The sequence below is a fragment of the Homo sapiens genome, chromosome 3 (assembly GCF_000001405.40).
Source record: "Homo sapiens chromosome 3, GRCh38.p14 Primary Assembly".
Taxonomy (NCBI): domain Eukaryota; kingdom Metazoa; phylum Chordata; class Mammalia; order Primates; family Hominidae; genus Homo; species Homo sapiens.
The window spans coordinates 156,293,470-156,320,837 of record NC_000003.12 but is presented as its reverse complement, the minus strand read 5'-3'; the positions used below and the strand labels follow the sequence as shown (position 1 = coordinate 156,320,837).

General features: G+C 40.2%; 1 protein-coding gene across 8 annotated transcripts in view, besides 2 other annotated features; it reads right to left on the bottom strand.

The window, feature by feature from the left end:
- Positions 1-27,368, bottom strand: part of KCNAB1 (potassium voltage-gated channel subfamily A regulatory beta subunit 1) — a 420,928-nt gene that overhangs the window by 218,301 nt on the left and 175,259 nt on the right. The window contains exon 1 of one of the 8 annotated variants that reach the window (XM_011513115.4): positions 16,843-23,551. The exons of the other annotated variants lie outside the window; for them this stretch is intronic. Coding sequence (XP_011511417.1) covers positions 16,843-16,871 — 29 coding nt within the window. The 5' untranslated portion in view covers positions 16,872-23,551. Of the gene's footprint in view, positions 1-16,842; positions 23,552-27,368 lie in introns of those variants that run through there. 8 annotated transcript variants of the gene reach the window in all.
- Positions 2,879-4,078: an enhancer, noted in NCBI's record as "P300/CBP strongly-dependent group 1 enhancer chr3:156034549-156035748 (GRCh37/hg19 assembly coordinates)". NCBI's record gives its function as "activates an origin of replication core promoter dependent on BRD2, BRD4, P300/CBP, MED14 and CDK7 cofactors, with strong dependence on P300/CBP, by STARR-seq in HCT116 cells {active_cell/tissue: HCT116}" and the evidence as "EXISTENCE:reporter gene assay evidence [ECO:0000049][PMID:35650434]".
- Positions 8,923-9,424: an enhancer, noted in NCBI's record as "NANOG hESC enhancer chr3:156029203-156029704 (GRCh37/hg19 assembly coordinates)". NCBI's record gives its function as "activates a minimal SCP1, AML or CMV promoter by ChIP-STARR-seq in naive H9 embryonic stem cells {active_cell/tissue: H9 hESC(naive)}" and the evidence as "EXISTENCE:reporter gene assay evidence [ECO:0000049][PMID:30033119]".

Here is a 27,368-nt window from a genome sequence, read left to right as displayed (position 1 = left end):
ATGCCCTCCTCTAATCTGGGGATGCCTGCAGCAGGAGGCAGATGTGGACACGTGATGGTGAGGAGAGGAGAACTTCCCCATGCTTCCCAAAGCCCACTGGACAGGCCTTGTGGAGGTGTCTTTGTAGGCCAGCCCAGAGCAATAAGGACAGAGGGACGAGCAAGAGCTATTTCAGCAACATTCCTGGTACTCTCCCCTCTGCCTCCCACCATGCCAGTCTTTCACTGGACACAGTCCTGCTGCGGTAGCCTCCCACTTTCTAGATTTTCTCTGAGATCTCCCAAATGTTCTCTGTGGGAAAATGGCAAAAGAAAATGAATTGTACACAGTGAGAATACCAAGAATTCTGTATGGGCTCTCACCACTTTCTCAATTCCAAGGAAGCTGTCCTCAAATAAAACATATTTGGGCGAAGAACTTCTTTCAGTGCATTTAAGCTCATATCAATTGCTTGCACCATTCATTCATTCATTTAATAAATCTTTTGTGTAGGATTATGTAGATTCTAAGAGTACAGAAACAAGTAAGCCTTTGTTTATTTTGTTTAAGGAAAATGTACTTCCCTTGAGGAGCTCGCAGTTTAGATTAAGGAGAGAAAATAGCTTTGATTCAGGGCAGCATAACTGAGGGTAACTCAATTATTGACAAATCAAAATTTTTCTTATCAGTGCAGCTAGGACACAGTAGCTAAGCATGGCTCCCTGACACCCTGTGCACAGCACTGTCTGATGGCCTGGGGAGTCCTCAGAGAATGTAGAAAGGAAATATAATGTACCTGAAAACACTTCATTTTCCAGGATGGATGTAGCCCTGCTCCTGCCCACAGTGTGCAGGCTGATTATGTGGATAGGATGCTCACGAAGTTGGAGAGGGCCTGTATGATCTACATTAAAACTGGACTTCATCAAAGCAGATGGTATACTTACTTGGAAACCCAGAATAGTAACATGGTACTTACAATTAAGCTATATTTCTAAGTTTTTGTTTCCTTCCATCTGGTTAAGCACTTGATTACCAGGTTATTTGGAACAATTTTAAAGGAGAGAGGGCAAAACGGAGAATATCCAATAGGAGATGTGGATAAGCAGAACATTTGGTTTTCCTTTCACTAGTCTTAGGGAAAAAATGTAGATATAGTCAGTGCATTTCATGACATCATCTAAAACTAAGAATGCATTGAGGGAAAATAGTGTCTTTTCACAGGGCTCTTGAGCTCTGCAGGTGAAGTTGTGTGTGGTAATCAACAGCACTGTTCACCAGTGTTTCTGGCCCCCTGCATTCCCAGCAAATGGTAGGATTGTACTTCCCTGCCCTTCTTAAGTTTGGCATGGCCATGTGACTTACAAGGCCCAAAAATAAATGAATAGAAGTGATAACATCACTTCTGGGAGAAGCTTGAACAGCCAGTGTACCATTTGCCATGCTCACTTAATTAGACTGCCACAGCAATGGACAATGCCACCTTGGGTCCCAGGGTAAGGACAATGCAGAGTGAACTTCCAGTGGACCCATGAAGGAAATGTAGTGTGAGCAAAAACTAAACCTTGTGCTTAAAGCTGCTGAGATCTTGGGGCTATTTGCACCTGCAGCATAACCTGGACTACTCTAACTGACAAAATATTGGAAAGGAGAGCTTATTTCACTGCCAGGCTGACTGTATGAAAAATCACAGGAGGGATGGTTCCTCCTGTATCTTTCTAAGTTGTTCCATGTTCCCTTGCAACTTATCTTTTAATTGTAAAGCTTTGGGCTATACTTTGAAATCTTATAAAGGAATATAACTTTATTTATTAATCTTTTGCTTTTGTTTTTGTATTTATTTTTGAAATAACAGCAAGGTATGAAGGAAGAAAAAGCTATAAATGGAAAATTTAAAGATGAAGGTTAGTTAACTGGTTTACTGGCTCTGCCACTAATCATCTGTGTGACCCTTAAACAAGTCCTTAATGTCTTGGGGCCTTGGTTTTCTTGTCTGCAGCACAGAGAACTTGAATTAGACATGAGATGGCCAAGTAGCATTTCGTGACAAATCGCAACTAGCCCTGAGATTAGTTTTGTTTGGTCCTCCCAGAAGTGGGCTCCTACTTTTAATTAAGCCATGCAAAACAAAAATCTATTTGTCAACATTAAAATTTAAGAGCATTCACATAAAAATCCAGCTTGCTTGCTTGTCTACTTTCTTTTCTACATGTATTTATTCAGCAAAACCTTTTTGAGAGCTTACTGTGTGCCATACGCTCTTATAGGCACCAGGGTCACACTTACAAACAAACAGACAAAACACTCCATGCCCTCATGGAGTTGACATTTGAGAAGATTTCCAGCTTCTCTTGAATATTTGGAAGATCTGGCAGCATAGGGTCCATATTCCAACAAAGCAACAGTTGCTGGGAAGCTGGGGGTCCACTCCCTGTGGATAGGGCATGTGGTCTGCTCCTTTAGGTTCATAGAGGCCTACGGGGGCACTCACTCTGCCTGCCTGGACCCTGTGGGCCTGTGAGTTTGTGATGACCCCTCAGAGACCTTTATTTCTAACAACCACGATTCTAAATTTATATCCAACCCAAAATGAAAACTGAGTATTTTCAAGTATGTTATAGAAAATCATGAGCTATGGATGTATATTAAAAAGCAAAGGCTTTTGCCCCCTATCCTGCTTAGTCCTATTGTCTCTCACTTGACTGAACTCTTCCAGAAAGAAAGAAAGAAAGACACCCAGCACACTTGAGGTCTCCTTGGCTTTCTTCCTGTTCCTTTTACCTCTCTGTCACTGCTTTTAAAGCAGGCTTGGCTTTTTATTCTGGAGATGCAGATTAGCTTTGTAAATAACCAGGAGTACCTCTACCTTAGGTATCTTAGATATCTAACTACCTGCCTAAAATTTCAGTTGAGCAGTTGAATGGGAATTAGCATATTGCTTTAATGGAAGCAATATGCTAATATTGCTGGAAGGTCCTGTTTGCTCTACAATGTTATTTGCTAACTCAGTCATTGTTTTCCTTCCCAGTAAATCCAAGAAGACATGTGGGTGCAGAGTAATGGTTACGTGTTTCAGCTCCAATGGGAACTGACTTTGTGAAAAGTGTGAGGGCTGGGATACATTAAAAAATTATTTGCAAGGCTATTGTAAATCATCTGTCATATAGCCATTCTTTTCCCTTCTGCCTTTTCCTGCTCTTTTGCTCTTTGTTTCTTCTCTTCCGCTAGGTGGAATTGTGGATGAGTCATCTTTTTGAGTCATTTCCTTTATTAAGTGGCAGGGTTAATGGCATCGAGATAGGGAAGAAGGAAGACAAAACATCAAAGCTATTACCACACGTATTAATGGATGGATATACACACACATCTACACCCACAATGAACACACATATATTCCATTACTCAAGTGAAAGACAATTAACAGATTGTTTTTCTCTGTAAAAAATTTCATCTAAAGGCTGAGATATAGTAAGCCAAGTTTTTGCCAGGGCAAAAATTTATAACCAAGTTATAAAAGCTTGAAAATAGCAAGACACAATGGAAACCCTGACATAATCTTAATTACACTGTCACCAGACGCAATGTGAAAATGTACATGCAAAAGTTCCTTTATAAGCCTATGAATTAGTCCTGTGGATATGTCTAGAATCGTATTTCTAACTGCTGACAAACCTATCCCACCTCTGAGTAGAATAATTATTCTAGGTTGCAGATCAAAGTCGGTTCTTTTCAGCCAAGATTCTAAAAATATCTCCCTGAAACTGAAAAACACCACCAAATATTAATGGGAATAATAATAAGAAGAATCATTCTAACAACTAACATTTATTGAGAACTTATGCTCTGGGCCCTGTGCTAGTCATTTCTCTCATCTTATCTCATATAATCGTCCCAGCCTCCACCCTGAGACGGGGTTTGTGTGCAGGTTATTCTCCATTTGCTTCTGCAGATCCACTCTCCATCTCTCTTTACCCTGCTTTGTGGCCTGGGCTCTGACCTTCATGGATTTCATCTTTGGAGTTCCCATGTCTTCTGGCTTCTGTCAGGTTCCCAGAGTAAGATGAGAGTAAAGTCTGGTATTTCTTCTCCCAACTTGAGCTCTTTTGGGCTGAGGACTGGCACCTCTCTTTGTCACCTGCCTCCTGGCAGGGGCCCTCTTCCACAGGCACCACCCTCTCTTCAGCTGCTGGCAGCTGCTCCCCTCTTCAGGGTTGGGAGCTGCTTTGCTATCCACAGGATGCTTTACTGTCCTTTGTTGACTGCCCTTAACTCTGCCTACACTTTTATCCCTTATTAAATTTTCTCAATTACTTTGAATGTGTCATCTATTTTATGAACCCTGAAAAGTACAGTACAATCAGTTCCCATTTTATAGATTGAAAACTACTGAGACTGACCTGTTATGGGACACATCCAAGATTGCACAGCTGGTAAATGCTAGAGTCAAGATTTGATCTTAGATCTTCCCTCAGCCCAGGCTCTTAACCAATATGGTATACTTTCTAGAACAGAGTCACTACTATGTTGATTTTCTGCAGAGGTGTCAAGAAAAGAGTCTAGGCTTCCAGCCCAGTAAAGAGCTGACTTGACTTTACCACTGCTTGGCTGGGGGTGGGTGTTGGTTTTCTAAGCCACCTGGCTTCTCTGTGCCTTGGCTTCATCATCTATAAAATGCGGGAAATAAGACTTGTTCCACTTAACTCCTCAGGATTCTTGTAAGAATAAAAATGAGAAAAGAGATGTGAAACAACCTTAAAAGGATGTGACTGCTACATAAATGTAAACTAGTTTTTTTGAGTTGTACCATTTGTAACTGTATTAAGATATAGATCTCTCTGTATATATTTATGTATATGTGTGTGCATGTGAACACACGGAATTTCTCTTTTATTTATTCTGTAGATTAGAATACCATTATTCTTCTATGATACAAACATGTTGTCAGGTTATCTACTATTATTTTCCCATATTTCAATGTACAGTTCAAATTTTATATGTTCTAAACATTAGGACCCCACATTCACATTCAACCATTCTAGAAAGTAAGAAAATTGTATTCACCATTATCAGTTCTCTGTGTAACAAGACATATCTATAACTTTAGAGAATATGATAATATAGATATGAAGATATACTTTTATAAAGTGGTTTTATCCCACATGAATAGATAATGAGAAACGTTTTTCTTAAATGGGTTCATTTATGCTATAGTTGAGATACAAATACATAGTAGTCATGATTGAAATTAAAAAAAAAAGCTTTTGTAAGGGATAGTAAAAACATGGATTCCACTCCTTTACATCAGCTTGGAGGTAAGTAGATATTTGATAATATTCCAGGACACAGGTCCTTGGAATGAGAACCAGTGCTTGTATCTGTAAAGCCTCAGGTCATGAGGAATTCCAGGGACCTCAGTGAGCAAGGTGCTCCTGGTTGTGGAAGTGGTGGACAGATGGGCTCCCAAAGAACCTCAGCGGTTTGGCTAATGCCACATCATCTAGCAGAGGCAAATCCAGAGCCCCTGAGTGCCTGAGTGTACTATAGCCTATACCCCAGTACTCCCAACCCCTGCTTACAGATAGATGATGATGGCCTCCTTTTCCATTGGCAAGGCAGGCTGGCCACCATAAGAGAAAAAAGCAGGCACTCGCATAGCACCATTGAGACAAGCCTCACCTTCCTTTGGCCATAGTTCTGACTCATTCTCTGATGTTGGAAATATCATGTAATTATTTGGTAATGCAATTGTCCTATTGACAAAGTATGTACCAGTTTCCTGCCTCTTGCTTACGTGATGCCAGATTTTTTGGAGACCCGAGAAAATGTTGCAATATAATTTTTTTTTTAGATGGAGTCTCCTTCTGTCACCCAGGTTGGAGTGCAGTTGCGCAATCTCGGCTCACTGCAACCTCCATCTCCTCGGTTCAAGCAATTCTTCTGCCTCAGCCTCCCAAGTAGCTGGGACTACAGGCATGTGCCACCATGTCTGGCTAATTTTTGTATTTTCAGTAGAGATGGGGATATCACCATGTTGGCCAGGCTGGTTTTGAACTCCTGGCCTCAAGTGATCCACCCACCTTGGCCTCCCAAAGTGCTGGGATTACAGGCATGAGCCACTGCACTCAGCCTGTAATAGAAATTGAAGGGCAATTAATTATTTGCATCTTGAGCTAAAGTCACCTATGCACTTGTCATATGTCTTTAACTTATGACCAGCTTTTAATCAGAAAATAGGCATTTGGCATTTAGTGTTTCTGACGTAAAAGATCTTGGCTCAGGGCCATGGGGCTTCCTCATCCTCGGCAATCCTGCCCATACTGCTTCCTAGCTGGGTAGGCTTATGGAGGCAGTAATGCAGAATGGTGGGGAGGCTGGCCCCTGGAGTCAGGCAGGTTGGGTGGCCTTTGATAGAATTCCTTTCTGAGCCTCTGTTTACTTATCTATAAAATGGAGATAATAGCACTAACCTTATAGGGAAGTTGGGAGCGTTATATTAGAATAAACATCAGCACTTGGTAACATGCATGACACATAGTAACAACCCAATGCATGTTAACACTGGACCCCAACCCCTGTACATTTTTGACACCGCACCTAACATACCAAATACATGTACTACATTTTTGCCTTTTTACTCTCACCTCCAACTCTGCCCCTCAAGTGCTCTGAACTGTGCCCAGTATATAGCATATGCTCAATAAATACTGGTTGAATGAATCAAAGGAAAGTATAGTTGGGATCCCTGCCCTGCAGGAGTTTACTAATGAATTGGCAGATAAGAGGTTTATATGCCAGATACCTAGTAATTATGCCTAGCAGAAAATAGGTGGAATGGGAGTGTTACACACAGAGGTGAGAGACAGAGAATACTTCTAACCAGATGGGGAAAGAAGGCTACATGGAAAAGGGGGGCTTTGAGCTTAAATCAATACTGTGAAAATGAGCTAGTGCTCAAAAAAGGAATTTCACGCCACACTCTGGTCACTCAAACACTGACAATATTTTTCCCTCCATTTTCTGTGCTTTAACTTGATGCTTTAACATGATGACGGGTACCTCTATTAATTTCCTATTGCTGCTATCACAAATTATCACAAAAACAGTGGCTTAAAACAACACCAACTTACTTTCTTCCAGTTGTGGAGAGCAGAATCCCTAACTCAGTCAAGTCTTGACTTGCTAAAGTCAAGATGCAGACGGGGTTGATTCCTCCCGGAGGTTTTAGGAAAGAATCCATTTCCCTTGCCTTCTCCAGCTTCCATAGTTGCACTCCTTGGCTCTCAGCCCCTTCTTCCATCTCAAAGCTAGCAGCATGACATCCTCAATCTCTCACTGCTCCATCATCACATCGCCTTCTGTCTGGCTCTTTGGTAGTCAAATATCCCTCTGCTTCACTCTTGTAAAGATACCTGTGATTACACTTAAGAACCACTCAGATAATCCAGGATAATCTCCCGTCTCAAGATCCTAAATTTAATCCCATCTGCAAAGTCCTTTTTGCCATGAACATGCACAGAGTCCAGGGATTTTGGGAGATCATTATTCAACCTACCACAGTAGCCAAAAAATAGGGGTGGGAGGAAATGTTTTCAGAACACTTGGATTTTTTTTCTAGTCCATTTTAATATTGAATCCAGCAAATATGTCAGTGAATTGATAATAATATACTATTTTTTACACTGTCTACTGTTAATCAGAATTTGCTTAAATTCTTTCATTGGATTTCATTTAAATGTATAAATTTGAGCTATTGCTGTTTGCTACTAATGCTGTGGAAGTATAAGACCATCGATACCTCCTAAGAAACAGAAATGTGAAGCAAAAAGATCCAGTCTGCAATACTGGGTGAGGTGCAGGGTTGAGGAGACACAAGACAGGGAGAGAAGTGCTCACAAAGTGGACAAATTCCTCAGGGCTAGTTGATCCAGCTGGAGCCAGGCTAGTGGCCATTTCTGTCAGAAGAGGCAGTTGTTAACACCTTCCCTGCCTTGAGAGAAATTTCCACAAACCTTGGGGAGAGGGCCAAATGAGCAGTCAACCTGCATCTTTTGAGTCTGCAGTAATCTTTTTCTTTATAGCAGAATTTGACCACTCGAATGCACATAGAACTAATTTCATTATTATGAGTTTTTTTTTTTTTTTTTTTTTTTTTTTTGGAGACAGTCTCACTCTGTCACCTAGGCTGGAGTGCAGTAATGCTATCTTGGCAACCTCCACCTCCCAGGTTCAAGCGATTCTCCTGCCTCAGCCTCCCAAGTAGCTGGGATTACAGGCAAGCACCACCACACCCAGCTAATTTTTGTATTTTCAGTAGAGACAGGGTTTCACCATATTAGCCAGGCTGGTCTCAAACTCCTGGTCTCAAGTGATCCACCCGCCTCGGCCTCCCGAAGTGCTGGTATTATGAAATATTTGACATAGCCACAATGGGCATTCATACTTACATATTTTGGGGAAATTTTGTTGGTTTTAGCACATGAAAAGTCTCCTTCTTACTGGAACTCTCAATAGTTCACTTTTCACGCTATTTAAAACCTCTGGGAACATGTCTTCTTCAAGATAAGGATGTAGCCCTGATTTCTGTCTTAAGTTTAATATCCATGTCTTCCACCAGAGGTGATGGTCTATGTTAATATAGTCACAATACCTGTCGCCTATTTTACTCAGCAATAGCATCCACACTGCCAGTCATCTCAAAACCAATTTAACACTGCAATTGTGCATGTCACTAAGCTCTGCTCGTTCTAATAGCATCATGTTCCCATAGTTACTAATGCATTTCAAGGCAAGGTTGGGGGAGCACACGGCAGTTTAAAATTATAGATAACAGGAGAACGAAAAGTAACATAAACAAAATGTGTGATGAGTGGGGTGCTCCAAAGCTGATTGCTGCCCAGGTAGGGACATGCAGCTTATGAATGGATAGCCGTCAACAGGCTGCAGAGCCTGCCTACCCAGTGAACCCTTTAAATACTTAAAACGAAGGGCCTTAAGTGCACACTGCACTATTTGCAGTCAATAAATGGGGCTGAGGAAAGATTCAGGAGTAACAAGTCACACTCGTATTGATGTGTCCCTTAGCCCCACACCAGAGGTTTGGAATAACTTCCTAAGGAGCACCTTTGCTTCTTCTCTCTCTCACACACCAGCCATCTTCCTAAGGCACCCTTCCTATTGGACCACTCACTCAGTGCTAAAGAATATGCAATGACTCCCATTGTCTTTCTGATGGAGGCCAAATTCCTCCTGTGGAAGCTTGGCCACCGCTGGCCCAGGTCTGCGCATGGGTGCAACTTGTCACACTCCCCATGCCTCTGCTCCAGGCAGACTAGTCCTCCCTCCACCTCACACAGCTCACCTGTTCTCCCCACTTCATTCACCCACGACCTATCCTTCAGTGGTAGGACCCAACCCCTACCTTCTCCCTGAAGCCTTCTTGATAACTCTCTGGTCAAAATTCATCTTTGCCTTTCCTATTTTCTCACAACACATACTCTTGCCTTAACTTGTTAGGGTATAAACATCAATTGGTTTTATTTTCCTGCTCACAACTTTCAACTCAACTTCTTGGAACCCTCTCTCTCTTTTCCACAGGGTGATAGCTTCCACTGAGCCTCTGTTGGCTCAATTCCATGACGTTTAAATCACTTTTCTTAAACCACGTTCTAAGATTCAGCCCTGCTGCTTTTAACATGTTGACCTCATATTTAATTCATATTTCCATCTCTTTCCATCCCTGATCCTACCCTAATCCAGTGCTACTGGCACATTAAGAGCAGGAGAAGAAGGGTGGGGGGTCTTCTGCTCCTCGAACACCATCTCCTCTTTCACTTGCACCTGCTTATAGTGTTGATCCAAGAAAATGAAGAAAATGGAGGAGTCTCCTTTCTGCTCTGCCCATGGAGAGTTCCAGTCCTCCCCACATCTGGGCCCTAATTGCTGCCCTAGCTCATTTTCTTGAAGCCCAACAGTGGATGCTGGTGGACAATTCTTAGGAGGTGGGACCCTTTATGAGATAAGCTGATAGCTTCTTTTTTGTTGTTGTTGTTTTTGAGTCAGAGGAGTCCCGCTCTGTCACCCAGGCTGGAGTGCAGTGGCGCAATCTCAGCTCACTGCAAGCTCCGCCTCCTGAGTTCACGCCATTCTCCTGCCTCAGCCTCCCGAGTAGCTGGGAATACAGGCACCCGCCACCCCGCCCGGCTAATTTTTTGTACTTTTTAGTAGAGACGGGGTTTCACTGTGTTAGCCAGGATGGTCTCGAACTCCTGACCTCGTGATCTGCCCCCCTTGGCCTCCCAAAGTGCTGGGATTACAGGCGTAAGCCACCATGCCCAGCAGGTAAGCTGATAGCTTCTTATCAACTCCTCTGGTGCATACCTACCCTGTCCCACCCAGAAGTCTGTAGCTTGCAAACTCATCTCTTTGGGCTCAGTGTTCAGGGCCTGCAGGACCAATTGGGATCCTGTTTTCACAACTCTTCATACTTATGCCTTTGCCCCATGTCATACCACCCATCTCTCTCCTGACCCTTCCTCCACACCCTACAGCAGCCAGTGGCTTGAAAACTATCAAGATGGCATTCCATCACCATCTTGGATTTTAAAGATGTTGTACAGTCATGGCAAGTTTTATAAGTGATTCTCTTGGAGTCTCCCTCTTGGCTTGGGGGCAGGGAGAGAAATACCCCATTTTTTTGAGGAGGATTAGTGAGGGGAGAAAGACCACTGCACTACTGCACAAAGAGTCCTCTCGTTCACTCTTTCTCCAGTTTGCTTCTTTATATTAAATTGAGGGCAGAGTAGAAGATGGAGATGGTGCCAAGATTGATTCTGCTGAAATCTCATCACTCAACAAGCCCTGTTGGAGGTACTTGGCAGCTGTGTGAACAGAACGCACAGGACTAATCTCACTCCCTGAACAATAGAAAACATTGCACTAGGCACTTGGCTTTCTCTTTAGTTCCTAGAATTGTGAAGGCCTACAATTCTAGAATTCTAGAACTAATTCTCTTTAGTTCCTAGAATTCTTCTGCCCCTGCAATCTCTGGCTTGTGACACTTGATAATGTGGTTGATCACAAACAGGGCAGCAGGACCAAGGACTGCCAGCCTTTACACCACTCCTTTCGTAAGCATAGGCCAGCTCTTTCTTTGATGCTGATCACAAAGATTGTGTGAGCTGGTATCCATGGTTTGTAACATTCCGTTTGATATATTATTTTAATTTTAATGGGCAATCTACTTTACATTATCTAACATTGTTCTCGACTCATTAAGCAGGTAAATTTTGTCTCCCCAGTAAAGGTAAAAGCTGAAAGGAGTAGCATTCAATATTTCTTTTGCTTTATGCAGAAACCCTATCATGGTGCTATGCACACAACAGATAAAAACTAGATTTGTTGACTTGAATGGAACATGAACAGCATGGGCTTATAGACCCTGAGAGCCAGTGCTGGCATCTGTGTTGGCTTCCCACTGCCACATAAAAGCTAGAGAGGGCTGAGGCCTCTGTGGTAAAGACAACTGCAGCTTCATTCAGGCTAATAAAGCTGTATCTACATGATACACAATATTAGTTTTGTTCATCAAAAACTCAGACAAGTCAGATTTAAAATTTATATTTCCAGTGTCAGAGACACAAAACACCCATATGATTAGGTATTTGCTTTTTATTTTTAAAAAACTGATATATTATTTACAACTCAGTATGGAGCCAGAGAGAAGTAGGTAAGACAAGAAAAAAATAAATTTCTAATACATTTCCAGATGAAATGTTTGATTTCCAGTTTTGAAACTGGAGGGAAGATTATTTTTTCTTTTTAGAAGAAGAAAAAGCAGAAAAATAAGTAATGGACCCCCAATTAAAAGGGAAAAAATAACTTTTATTGAAAATCTGAAAGCTAATGCTAATAAATTATCAGTACAAGTGTGTGTGCCAATTTTTTTAGTTTTATATTATATATTTCCTAAATTCTAATGTTCCATCAGTTGAAAAATGCACCATCCATTTAAAAATAGCTGTTCAGAACAAAGAAACATGATGACAAAACTCCTGATGCTTTCTAACATTAACATGATAAAACTAAAGTGCCAGAATGCTAAAGTCAGTGCTGTGCAAAGCCTTCCATTCAATCCTCTTAACAACTTGTAAGACAGACACTGTCATGATCTTCATTTCACTGATGAAAAGCTTGGCCAGCATCAAGAACGTATAAGTGGCAGTGCTGGATTCAAACTCAAGGCTAAACACTACAGTGGGCAGCCCCAGAAGAGAAGCTCCATATGTGAGAGAACTGCATCATTATCATCATGGGCTTATCTACAGCTTCTCACTGTTTCCATCCCTGCCTCCACAATTCAAGCCACCATCGTCCTCATGAACTGACTACACACTGTTTTTTATTGACTTCTCAGCTTACACTTATGCCCCTACAGTCTATTCCTCACCAAGAAACCCGAGCAATCCTTAGGAAGCCCAAGTCGGATAATATCACTCCTCAGCTCAAAATCCTGCTCCATCTCACTCACCCAGAATAAAATGAAAAGTCCTCACCATGGCCCACAGGGCCCTCAATATCTGGCCCATTCTAACCTTAATGTTCTCCTGATTGTTCCTCAGATGTGCACTCAGGCCTTTGCACTTGCTTTTTTCTCTGCCTGGATTGATCTTCTCGCAGATACTCAAAGGCTCACTTGCTCACTTTCTTCCAATCTATTACTGAAAGTTATCAAATAATGTCCCCTGCCCAACCTATTTCAATAGCACCCTCCACAACTTTCCACCTTTTGCTCAGCTTATCTTCATAGCAGGTATCACCTCCTGACATGCTAAACATTTACTTGTTTCTTTTTCTCCTCTTCTACAATATAAGCTTTTCAAAGGCCAAGGCTATTTCGTTCACTCCCTTATCCTCAACACCCGGAACAGTGCCTGGCACAGTGCCTGCTTAGGGAATGTTTATTGAATGAATCAACTGACTCCAAATCATACGGTTAAGAATTCATATCTCTGAGCATCATGCTCAGAGACTATATTCTGTACAGCCTTACTGTATTCTGAAAAATCAAAATTAATATGAGAAAAGTTTTAATAACAATAGTTTAGTAATTAGACAGACCTGCCCTGTAACTCCTGCTCCATCGTGGTTGGAGTAATGACATTTCAGTAATAATGTGCTCAGTTGACAGCCTCCCATTTACACATCTGCCCCTTCCTTGGCCCAGAGATGAATGGAGCCACCTTGGGTTCTCCTCTCTCAGAGGGGAAATGACAGCACCAGAATGATTTCACAGCCCTTGATTTTCTTTTTACAGTTGGCCCTGCACTACCAAACTCAACTTCAATTTTAATAAAATTTGTTCATGTTCCAACTCTAAGTGGAAAAGCAATTTAACCATTCTTTTGAGACATAAGTGTACTGGCAAGAGGAACTTTTTAACATAATAAATAATTTCTTTTCTTGTGGAGGTAGACCAACAATAAAAAAAAAAAAAGATGAAAAGAATCCAAACTTAAGAAGTTCCTGGTTTTCATAAAAATAATCTCTTCTGTTCTAAAATCAAATCAGTATAGTCTCTGAATGGCTAAGTCTGGAGACTCATGTCTCTTTGCAGTATGAAGCATATGTCCTCATCTTTGTCTCCATGCTTTGGCTGGCTGGTTTCTATCTTGAAATGATGCCTGAATTGTCCTTCCTGCTCTCCTCTTCCATCTTCCAAAATGTACACGAAGCAAGTTAGAATCTTAGGTCACAAACTTAGGTAGCAAGACATATGACATGTTAATATTTTTCTATGAATTAACTTAATTTCAACCCAGGAACTCCCTCCTACCGAGCCAAAAGGAAATTTAATTTTTACACAATATTAACTCCCTCACCGCCTCCCTCCATGCTGATGCTGCTGAGATTGGGTCAAGGTCCCAGGGTCTTAGACTCTTCAGCGTCAGGGAATTCTGTCCATGTTTACCACGTGATTACAGATGATTCTGCCCATCATTGGTCATCTGTCTATGGCTGTCCCAGACCACATGGTCCTCAGTTCTGCTGCTTTCAAGCCACACCAGGGGCTTCGCAGAACTTGGGAGAGGTTGGAAACCCCTAGCTGGGGATCCAGTCTCTCCACTGTCACAGGGCCATGTCCACAGGGCCATCACGTGCCTTGGACGCTGCAGGGAGCAAGGCTCATGGGACCCACAGACTTCCCACCAAACCAGCAGAATCTCAGCTTAATCTGGGAAATGCCTTTTCTTTCAAACCTGACTCTCTGTAATGGACTTAGACATCTGGACACCGAAAACACACTTTCTGCAAATAAGGACGTATTTGCAGAATACTACATAAGCTACTTGCTTGAATGTAGTAAAGTGAAGAGATGCAGGGAGGAACACCACATGTTAATATCTTCAAATGGTCTCACCAAACTTACCCCAGTACAACCAAACTGGAGGATCCCATCTTTCTTCATGCAACCTCGAAGAAAAGGTTGTAGCTCTTTGCAGGTCCTGGTGAATGGACTTGGAGTTGGGATTTCAAGTGGCCCTGCTGCCTAGTCCTGGACTATTCAGTCTCCTGGCTACTGCACCCCTTGAGAAAAGGCCAGAGTCACTGAACATGCCACACAGGGAAAACTCAGCTCCTTCTGTGCACCACATCAGATCAACACTCAAAATCCATGTTTTTCTAAGAGTTTTGGAATAGTTACATCACTTTTTTTAATTGATCAATACTAACCTGTAAGTATCAATATCAATAACTTGCCCCCACTGTATAGCTTCCACGCAGATATTCTCTTTTTGTTACTTGATCTGTTCACTACTTTAAGGAATACAGTTTCACAAGCCATGTTGCTTCCATTGCCCCCTCTTTGTAAAGGATCAAGTGATAAGTTCAGGAATCGCTACCTTATGCTGACCCACATTCTTAGCAGACCAACAAAAACAAAGACTCAAGCAGTCCCTGCACAATTGTCTCCCAAGGACCCCACACACAGCTCCACTTTCTCTTTTGCAACTACCCAGACAATGACCAGGAAATGTTTCTTGAGGACATGTGTGCTCTTTAGTGTCTAAATAGTAGGATGAATTGTCACAAGCATCCTTGACTCCTGTCTCTGTTGTTTTTAGGTTTCTTTTCTTTTGTAACCTATGCAAATTTGAGAGCCACCTTAAATTCTTTTCTGGAACAAGGCTGGGTGTAAGTAGATATAACAGAAACTGTGTACAACTATTAGTTTCCAGTCATTATGGCAGAATAATTTGGGGGACACCAAGGATAGGTCAGGCTATTCAGTAACCAAGGTCAAGAACAGATAGGATTCCTATTTCCAAAGGAAAGAAGCCCATCGTGAATGTGAAGAGGACAAGTCTCATAGAGAATTAAGCCTGCACTGGAAAGCAAAAGGGTTGTATTGTAATGCAATCCCACAGAAGACTTTGAAGCTTATGAAAACTGGATCACTCATGCATCCATTCATCCATCCTGCAATCCTTTATTGATCACCTACAACATACCAAGCCACCGTGCTAGGACTGGGGATGATTAAAACAGGAATATTTTGAAGCCATGCACATACAAAGCTAAATAACAAGACCTATTGCAAAGATATCATATGTTCACAGAACTTAATTTTTTTCTTGTCTATTTGTCCCATTCTATGCTAATACTGATATTAATGACAATTTTAATGGATAGTAATTGGTACTTCAGGTATATGGTCGCTTGCAATTATGAAAACAATCCTGAAACTCTTGAAAAAGATTACCAAGTCCATCTTACAGATACTGGTAGTAAAGACAAAGTGAAGTAAACTGATACTCGAGTCCCTTTAGCTAGTATGCCATGCTTCCACCGAGCCATTCACCCCTATGACCTCATGTATGTGTGTGCACCTTAGCGCACATCACACACACATTCACATACTCGATATAAATTATGGACTAAACATGTAGGATAAATACTTGCCATAAAAATCATCTTCAAAGTATCTCTTACTTCTTTAAGCTTGATATTAATTTACCTATTAACACCTGATGATGCTTTTATTCCTCCCTTGAGGCAGATTTCTAATAGCTTGAACTGCCAAAAACAAAAAACCGCAATGGCTGCTGAACCTTCCGTTAGCCTCTGGATTCTGGCATCAGTCCTGAACTCTTTAGTGCATGTTCTTTGTACCACCACACTGCTCCAGTCCTGCCTCTGCCCTGGTTTTCTCAGCAGAGTAATTATGGGGGACATTCCACTGCCACATGCCAACAAGGGAAATTAAAACCTTGTTCAGAAATGTCATTTGCCAATATTACATTCCTTTTAATCCTGAGTCACTATTAGTATAAACATACGCTGGTCAGTATAACAGGAAGTAGGCCAGAAGCTGTCTGAACTTAGAATTGATATCAAAAGTCCAATAATTTAGACTACATAATATACCATTAAGTTCTGTTTATGTTGTGCCTCAGTTGCGGTAACTTAAAATGGGCATAACATCGCTTGCTTCCCCCTTCAGAGTTTTTCTCAAGGATAAAATAATAGTAGTTAAACTATTCATTCCCTTAGTTTGGATGTTGACATGAGGTAATCAGCATAAAGAATGATTTTACTGGCAAAGAATGTTATTCAGACATTCTGATAATTAGCATTTGTCTTTTGTCAAACCCTGTCCCCAAAGTATTTCTATCTCAAAATAAGTAGAGACTGTGCTAATATCCTTAACATGAATACTAACAAGCAAAATGATAAACTAACATTTTACGAATGTTCTATTTCTAAAATTAATCATTATTAAAGTAAGGCCAAATACTTTCTCAGTGATATTGTCGTGTGATAGTACTGCCTTGCTGCTAAGAAATGAAATTGAAAAACACTAACCTCATCACATTTGCTTCATTAATGATCATCAATGACTTGTAATCAGGCAGAATCCATCTGCAGAATAAATATGCAGACTTCGATTTGCTTATTTTTCTTTTCTACTGTCAACATGAACCAACATTTTCATTGTTGTATTTGCATTAGGCCCAAGCAAAATGTCTTTTCTAAGTCAGAATACAGACCCTGGTGATAGTAATTTGGAAGACAGCAAAGTAGGTCAGGCTCTTCCCCTTACTATCCTCAGTGTAGTACTAGAGGGGCTTGATGTGCACTGTTGACTCTAAATACACTGCCCTATCTATATAAAGATGATGCCACCTAGCTGAAAGTGCATGGGGAGTTACCTAGCCCTGTGAGGGGTTCTAGAGCAATATCCTCCTATCCCTATTTTAGAATGACTTCCTCCATTATTGCATTCTAACCCATGCTTTGCTTCCCAGACTATAGGTCAGGGTGGTAGCAGAGTTCACAATCAGCAAGGTCCCCCAGGAGCCATTTCCTCATTTCCATCTTACTCAAGCATTGTGTCTCTTACAGCCTCCAGGAAACAATATCTGGCCACAAGAGACTAAATTATAGGCAAAGGTTGAGTTTTAACTCTTGAGTCTCCTGATTTCTGAATTTCCAGAAAACTCTTTTCCTAACTCACTTTGATTTGTAACCACTAATATTTCTCCCCAGATATAATGCAATCTGGTACTTTTGCTTGCATGCCAAGAGAGAGTATATAGACTTAAATGATTTGAAATCAAGAGTATAACCTTCAAAGCCCAGTATTCTAGGCAGTGATAAGAGAGCTGTAGGTCTTTGGAAAGAACTGGGGAACACCCAGGCTTTTCTATTGGCATGTGAGACAGAACTTCACAGAGGGGAAACTACATCAGATTTAAAACATTTGAAAATGTGTGTCATAATAAACTCCTTCTTTTCTCCTCCACAACACTGCTATGACAATGTGAACAAAGCAGGGACAGCGTGAGTTTTATGGAAGGGTTAAGGTCTATTCTGTGATGTGAACAGAGCCTCCCAGATGCACTGGGAATGCGCTGCTTCATCTCCCATGATCCCAAGTGCTAGAAAGAAGTTCTATTCCCATATCTCACTGATTACAGTCATGAAATTTGGAGGTAGATATATTTTTAAGTCATGAGCATTTTAATTACAGCTTGGTCTTTGTGGCTGTCCATTGATTTTCAATTAATGTTGACCCCTTAATTTAGTTTGTACTTAGGTCTTGGTAGCAAAAAAAGAAAAAAGAGATACTCCTCGTAGGTGTTAGTGAGGGGCTGAGGGAAGCAGAGCAGATTCAGATAGTAGCTGCTGTAATAATAATTGCAAAGGCCAAGATAAAACTTTAAACTTTACCACACTGTAGCCACACAATGTAAATGAGAGTTTTATTTCTGATTCAAAACCCAAGCTGTAGCCTTACTCAGAGAAAATCCCCAGCACTCAGCATTTTCAATGATCCCATTATTCTTTTTGCTGCCTTGCTTCACCTGGACAAGTCTTGGATTCTAGAAAAAGTGTTGGGGATATGATGCTTGATACTTTAGGGTTCCTTTAACTCTCCCCTCTCCCATATAACATTTTTTGCATGATATGGGTGGCAGGCTGTATACTGGCCCATGAAAGACGTCTATGTCCTAATTCCTGGAAACTGCGCACATATTACCTTCTATGGTAAAAGGGACAGTGTAGGTGGAATTAATTAAGGATTCTGAGGTGAGGAGATTTGCTGGATTACCTAGGTGGGCTCGATGTTATCACAGCAGTCCTTTAAGAGGCAGGCAGGAGAATCGAAGTGAGAAAAAAAGAGACGTGAAGACAGAACTGGAGATTAGAATGATGTGCTTTGAAGATGGAGGAAAGAGTCAAGGAATGCAGGTAACCTCTAGAAGCCGAAAAAGGCAAGGAAATGGATTTCCAACCAGAAGCCTCCAGAGAAAAGGAGCTTTGCTGACACTTTAAATTTAGACTTTGGACCTCCAGAATTATGAAATAATACATCTGTGTTAGTTTAAGACACTAATTTTGTGGAAATCTGTTGTAGCAGCAAGAGGAAACCAATACAGTGTGAAATTTACAGCTTTGCTTCTTAAGGATACTTGCTGTACCCCCTTTTAAAAAATTACCTCTTGTTTTGAAACAGAACCCACGGAAGGTCCTGCTGAAGCCCTCAGGAAAAAATATCTGGTGAAATTTGGAGTTCTCTGGCAAATGTCCACTTGTTTTTCTCATTAAGGAATTATCCCAAACTTTTATGAACTAAGATCCAAGCCTCTTGATTTCCAAAAGATCACTTCTGGAGAAACTGTATTTGAGTGAAAGTGAAACCTTAAACTCCTTCCTTGGAAATGAAATATAAGCCATTATTGAGTGAGACGTTGTATGTTAGACCATGGATTTCCCAACTCCTTTCTATTTGGGTCTCTTTAGAGTAGCAGTTCATTTATTTTCTCTTCATTAAAATGAAACAAATATGTTCTTCATCAAGATGAAAACCTTCTGAAATCAGGCTGCTAAGATTTCTTCTGAACATTTTCAGTTTTTTAAAGTAAATGCACGGACACTATCATGCAGACGTGCTTGTGCATATACAGATAGGAAATTGAGTAGTGAGTCAAAAGGTTTATTTTCCTCAAATGCCTCAGAGGAATTCTTTGCTGATTCTTGAGTTGAAAGAGAGTAGCATTCATTAAAGCCATGTTATTTACGCAGTTGATTTTTATAACAAGGTTGTTGTTGTGGTCTCAGGCCAAAGACATTTTAAAAAAAAAACAAAACATAAAAACCTAGTTTAAAGAGGAAGCTAATGGAAAAGAGGAAGCTTATTAGCATGTGCTCCTCAGGAAAAATCTTGCATTTCTTACATAAGAGCTCTGTTAAACCAGATGGGCTTTCCAGTAGATATGAACTAATCATGAGGAGCTCGGTGCTTGTAATTTCTGGAGTTGAGCCCCTCCATGGGCATTCTCCTATAAGATGTTAATTACCCATACAGAAAATTTTTCTTGTTAATCATAGCAGTCATATACAGTTGCATTTATATTTAAACCTCCTATGTTAAAAATAAATTATCTATAAGAATATATCAAAAAGCAAATTAATCACAGTACAAGTTGTTAGCTTTCTACCTGGATACTCAACTATCATTGAAACCTATACATCAAATTTGGCCTTTTCATATTTCTTTAACCCAAGAAACTTCAACTGTCACCATTATAATTTTTCGAGTTGATATCTCATAAGAATTGCTATGTGTCAGCATAGTCATCCCCCATTACTCTAATAAATAGGTTAGGATTTTTTTTTAATGTTTTACAGAAATTGTTTCATAGAATAATTCAAAATATGAAAAACATTTTTTTTCCTTCTAAAACAGGAAGCATGACCAGGGCATGCAGACGAAAGGACATACCATGTTTCTGTTATTAGCCAATCTTGCTATTCTATACTGAAAAGTCTAGACTTTGACTTGGAATTGTATCCAGCACTGAGTGACTGAAAGAAGAGATAGACATTGTATAGAGGGTTTGAATGAGAGTTATAGTTACAGTTGGGAGTCAGAAAATGAAATCTAGGAGAAAACTGCTGGTATCGTTCTGGAAATTAGGAAGCTGAGTTGTAGTAACGGTTTTCAAGTACCAGCAACCTTATGAGGCAGAAAATTATAGTTAGCTCATTTTCACGTCAACAGAGGACAGGACAAGAAGTTTCCGATGCAGCTTTAAAGAAGCCGAGTCAATTGCAAAGAGGAATTTTGTGATTGGGAAGTATTTTTTTTTACCTTGGATGGTTTCGTAGTAGAACAGTCAGGCCAGATCTGATGAACAGGTGCTGGGATGAGAATGGGAGAGAATCTCCCTCCCCAGGTATCAGAAGGAAGTGGGAGTCCTCTGTATGCCACACGTGCCTCCTTTGTCTTGTTGCTGTGCCCTTGGTTTCTTGTTTTTTAATCTTTTATATTCATTTTTCTCCCTGACTTGACTGTTGGAGTCCAGGCAATAGACAACAATTCTGAAAACCCTCACCTTATCACTTCCTCTGAGGACTTTAGAGCTGAATGAATGATTCTGATTCTCAAAAAGAAGAGCCAAATTTTTTCATGACTGCTGTGAAAGATTATACAATATTTCTTTAGAGGCCTTTACAAGTAGTTGCTGCACAGTGCAAATTGGAAAAACAGGACAGATTTCTCATGAGGGCTAGACCAGATGGCCTGTGTGAATGCTCTCAGAGTCCTCCCTAGCTGTCGATTCCAAGAAAAAAAAAATCACTGCTGGGCTTCTGTTTTGGTTTCCAATCTGGGTAAATGAAAATCAACCTGCAGTAAGGAATTTTAAATGTGTTTGATTTCGACTTTCAGGAGCAAGCTTTCAAAGTAATCTCTAAATGCATACAGGAGAGTTAAGTATGTTCAGCACAGAATGCCCAAATGAGCATTTCCTGTCCAGTGTTACATGTGGCAATGTTCAATCATATATGCCTATGGTTTTGTAGATCTCTTCCTGAGAAGCCTGTGCTTTAGACACTGTGATGCTAAGCATGCTATCATCTGGAAGTTAATTTATGTCCAACTTCAGAACATGTACCAGTGAAGAGCCTCTGTGGCAGCACTGTGGGGTCCTCATGGCTCTACAGGAGATGGAGAAAGTTGGTCTGGCTCTCTCAGCACACAGCATGGCTTTGCTACTTCCAGAGATAAAAGCTTGGGCTGCAAATTCTGCCTATGTAGAGAAGGGAATTGTCCTTTCTAGAAGTGTTGCATGTGCTGTGCTTCTTTCCTGTGTTGAAAAATGGGGCCTACCCAAGAAGCTGCAATGTGGAAGCGAAAGGAGCATAAGGAACTCTGCCCTTGGAGTCAGGACCTCACTTTGGCCTTGGCCCTCTGCCCAACTTCATGGGTAACTCTGACCAAGGAACTAACTGGCCAATCTATATAAAACAAAGTAACTGTACTAGATGGCGTCTTGAGTTCCCTCACCAACAACCATTGCTAACTCTCTTATTTCTGGTGATCACATAGTATTAATAATTCTCAATATTGAAATGAAAATTTAAAGGACTTTTGCCTTGAATTCCAGACTCAATCACTCTATTTCTAATTCTTAAAAAAGTGAAAAACTGGTTACAAAAATGTCTTTAAGCATACAATATGATTAACTTGCAATATCGAATCTTCTTATGATGCCTAATAGCTATTTATCTGAATGGCTTTGAAATTCTTCAAGAAAAAGTATGAATTGATGCTACTGAATTCTTCTCATAAGAGACTTTTCTCTCCTAAAAAAGTTTTTAAAGGGTACTCAAATAAATTAAGAGTCCTATATTTTGATCAAATTCACTGAATCCAAATCTCATACTGTTCATAAATTGATATACTAAAGATAGACTATGAATTTGATGAAAGGAATTTTAAAAATCAAAGTGAAATTTAGGAATCTGATTTTCCTTTTGAATGTGATGGGATTTTTTTCTCCTTTCAGAACATTTCTCAAATTACCATAAATTGAAATGTTTGCAGAATTTTTAAAAAAGAATTTCTTTAAAATGAGTGTACTTCTAAAGAGGGTCATTGAGTGGATGTGGGATTAAGGACTCCATGTGTAACAACCAAACTGAAGATTGCAGCTAGAAAACTAGCCGTTTCCGGAAACTCTTCAGACTCCTTCACGTCCACGTGCGCACATGCATGCATGCACACACACACATACACAGCCCCACAGCCCCCACACACACTTCCAGAACCATAGAACTGGAACAATGTTTGCGTAATAACTTCCAGGAGGCTCCCTCCCCTCCTACCATTTTCTCACCATCCCATGGATGCCAGACTTCTGACTGCTGCCTTGCAGAGGTGGAATAAACTCTATGAGATTGAATCAGCAGTTAATTTTTAGGAAGGCTCTTCCACCTCCCCATTCTCACCATTTTACTTTAAGGCAGAGAGGAAAGCCCATACCCATGGGTGTCAGTGGAAATGACAACGGTATTCTTTACCAAAAAACAATAACAAAACCCAAAAATAAACCAAGAAACTTGGCATTTCAAATAACCAAACTGCTCTTTTTTTCTGGACTAAAATCAAATATTTCTGTTTGAAACACAGCCACAGAGCTAGCTCTCCTTTTCCTCCTCTTCAGCCCACCTATTTCCTCCCACTTTTCCCCATACGGAGACTTGCATGCACACACACACGCACACGAGCACACGCGCACACACACACACACGCGCTAAGTGCCTTTTACATAATTGGCTGACAAGATTGATCTTTCAGTTGAATTGTTTTAATTCAAAAACTACCCACCATTCGTGGGAGGTAAAGAATGGTGACTGTGACATGTGCTTTAATAAAAAGGCTCTGAAAGGAATGGCATGGGAAAGGCATCTGGTATCTGGTCTGAGTCTTTTGCATATAGTCCTGACTCTCTATAGGAAAGTAGAGAGTGCCATGGAATTTAACATAAATTTTCTTATTCCATAGCTACAACTCTTAATTTTTTTTTTTCTGGAACAACTGCCAGATTAATCCTTTCTTAACAGAACTTTGTAAGCAGACATCTTGCTTAAAAATCCTTACTGGTCCCTCCATTGCTGATGTTCCCTCGTGTCTAAATATCTTACCCTCCATGGAGCCATATTCCAATCTCTTTTCACCACTACAAGATTCTTTCTCACCACTTCCCTGTACAAACCCTCTGAGTAAAAAAAAAAAAAAAAAAAAAAAAAAGCCAACCTCAATACATACTGTGTTATGCCATTTATATTCTTGAAACAATAAAATTTCAGAGATGACTTGAAGATTAATGGTTACCCAAGATTAGAAATTGGAGAAGGGGGAGTGGATGTGGACAGAAATGGGTAACATGAGGGAGCCCTGTGATGATGGAACAATTTTGATTCTTCATTGTGGTGGTGGTTACACAAATCTATACATGTGATAAATATACATAGGCATACAACATGCAGACAAAAATGAATACATGTATAACTGGTAAAATCGGAATAAATCCTATGGATTGTACCAAACCATATGGATCATCAATTTCCTGGTTTTGCTATCATGCTATATAGTTAAGCAGGCATGCTTAACCACTGGAGAAATTAAGGGCATATGGAAATTCCCTGTACTTCTTTTCTTTGCAAACTTCTGTAAATTTATAATTATTTCAAAAACAATTTTAATGGTAGTTAACTTTAAAAATGGGGAAAAAGTTGGCCGGGCACGGTGGCTCACGCCTGTAATTCCAGCACTTTGGGAGGCCGAGGTGGGCGGATCACGAGGTCAGGAGATTGAGATCATCCTGGCTAACACGGTGAAACCCCATCTCTACTAAAAATATAAAACATTAGCCAGGCATGGTGGTGGGCACCTGTAGTCCCAGCTACTCGGGAGGCTGAGGCAGGAGAATGGCATGAACCCAGGAGGCGGACCTTGCAGTGAGCTGAGACGGCGCCACTGCCCTCCAGCCTGCGCTACAGAGCGAGACTCCATCTCAAAAAAAAAAAAAAAGGTGGGGGGGGGGGGAGTTGAAGTTTTTAGTGGAATTTAAAGATTGTTTTCAATGAAATGGGGCCCATCATATGCCAATGTTCTAAAACTAAAATAACAATTTCAGAATGAGGAGGAGGGAGTTTATCAGTACAAACGTGCTCAATTCTGAATGACAGAAGCTCTGAGACCATGTCAAACACTGGTAGCTGGATCATTCCAAAAAGTTATTTAAAAAAACAAAACCCAAACCAACCAAACAAAAACAACCCAATGTGCCTTAACTTCTGTCCTGAATGATTTGCTCTTCTTAGGATGAAAGATTCATGTATATACCTACATCTATCATGTGTAAATCTATCATGTATGGTTGTAGAGTGTACACCAAACTAACACAGTGTAATGAAATCTGAGATTAAAAATAGACATAAAAATAGAACAAAGGAACTTTCATGCACTAACAAAGCACAACTATGAAACTCTGAGAGTGAAATGATGAAGAGTTTGGTTAATGGGTACAAACACATAGTGATATAGAAGAAATAAGTTCTAATGTTTGATAGCAGAGTAGACTGACTATAATTAACAATAACGTATTGTATATTTCAAAATAGCTAGAAGAGAGGACTTGAAATATTCCCAATACATAGAAATGATAAATACTGATGGTAATGTGTACCCTAAATACCCTGACTTGATCATTACACATTCTATGCATGTAATATATAATATCACATGTACCCCATAAATATATACAAATAATCTGTATTGGAAAAAAAAGCCCTCTAAGGAAAGGAATAATCCTGTGTTATTTACATACAGGATAGTCCTCAGTATAAACATTAGGTGGAATCTTGTTCTCTTGGGCTGACAGTAGCTTTGGAATGCCAGAATGTTCTAGTAGATTTTTTTTATCTTCTGCCTTCAAACAATAACCAGTTTTATGCAATATTCTTATACAATGATGGTGTGAATATAATAGTGCCTTTAAGCATTTTATTTTGCAGAATTCAGAGGTTTTGCACAAGTATACATTAATTCTTTCTAAAATCTCAGTTTTGTGAGTTATTGATTAATGGGTGGTAAACATAGGCTGTTATATTAGTTGGCTTTAAAAATCATAAGGCATTATATAAGTAGAAGGCATTATACCTATTTATCAGGGTTACAAGTAGGTCCTCAGCTGCCAGGTAGCACCATATACCTTAAAGAAGTCTCTGGATAGCAAAATGGGTGGCAGACATACGCACAATTACTCATGCCCCAAGATGCAATCATTAATTCTGGAACTGAAGCAGAGTTGGTAACTTCAAAATGGATCAACTAAGTTGGCCCAAGCATGACTATCACCCCTCCAAAAAAAAATAACTTCATAGGAATATCTTCTATTAGACAATTATGTTATTTGTTTGTTTGCTTGTTTGTTTGTTTTGTTATTTATGGTCTGTTTCTTCAACTTGTACTTTAGCCCCAGACTTCACCTGGCTTCTGCACCTTTGTGTACCAGTTGAGTGAGGTTCCTGATATAGAATAGGTGCTCAGCAAATATTTATTGACTATGCTGACTAAATGAGTACCTCTTCACTAGGCAACATTGCTGTTTGACAGTTTTTGAGTTGTAGACCATTTTCAAATTCTGGTGAAAGCTATAAACCCTTTCCTCAGAAAAATGAACAAAAAGACTTTTTAAAAAATCTTCTGTTGGATTTAGGGATCCCCTTTAAAGCTCTGCCTATGAAAACCATTTTCAAGGATGAAATTGTGACCACAATTAGCTACTACTAACTTTCGATTTTAGTTATTTCAGGCATTCTCCAGATTGCTTACCTAAGCCAATTATCTTCCCTATTCTATGGCATTATTTTTGTATATTCTGCTATTTGTTATCATTAACAAATAGTCCATATATACACATTATACTTTAGTTAAAACAATGTAAAAAAGGATAATTTAGCTAATAAAAGTTACTTCTATCATTTTTTATAAAGTATATAATTAGTCTCCCTCCCCCTTTTAACCCTAAGAAAGCTTGGTGTACATTTGGCATAATCTCATAATCTCCTTCATAAAGGTCACTCAGAGTAGAATCTGAAACAGAAGAGTAAGTCACATTCACACACACACAGGCAAATCTCCTGACTGTTACAGATAGAGTGGCTTGGAACATGAGCACAAGTGAAAAAGAGGCATCTTGTTTAGTTACCTTAAGAAACAACATATACCGAAGATCCCAGTGGCTAACTTTTTGTTAGAGAACTATCTTTAGTTGTCAGTAATGAAAGGTGCCCAAGCGAACCTTGCTCACACTCTGAGCTTTTGGGAAGCAGAGTTATCACTCAACATGAGTTGAGCTGTGCCACCAGAAAAACCTTAATGGAAATCTCCTGACTTCCAAAGGCCTTCATAAGAGCAAACTCTTCCAACACAATCATCAAGCAACTATGAAACTCTGCCTCAAGAAATTAGTGGTCTTACTTTTGATTTCTTCTGATTTACAAAAAGAAAGTTCATAGTGCTGCGAAAGTACTAGAGGCCACAATTTAAACCACCTTCTGTGATCTGCCTTAACCCTGGAGGGTCCTGTTCCTGGGGACCTTGCCCAGGAAAGCAGCTGCTCATCTCCATCTCAGTAGCTGAAGTGCATGCAGAGCAGCACTGTGTCCACAAGGCAGGGGCTGCGTGTGTGCCACAGCAGCAGCCATAGAAAACATCAGTGGACTCAAGACTACAGTCTCATTTAGAGAACTGTCATTGTGGTGCCCCACTCTCTCCATCACAGGGATATCAGGAAAAGCAAAGGCACTCACACAGCTGATGCTTCAATGAGTTGACCTAAGTCAGGCTGCTTACATTTGTACTGCAGCTGGGGTAAAGAGCTTTAGTTATGGTTGTTTTGCTTTTTCCCACCCAAGGACTTTTTTTCTTAATGGCTCAAACATATATCAAAATAACAGTGCTTGATGTTTGTGCAATGAGAAACTTTCCTGTAACTCTGCAAAGAAATTTTTTCAAGGGCAACTTTTATAAA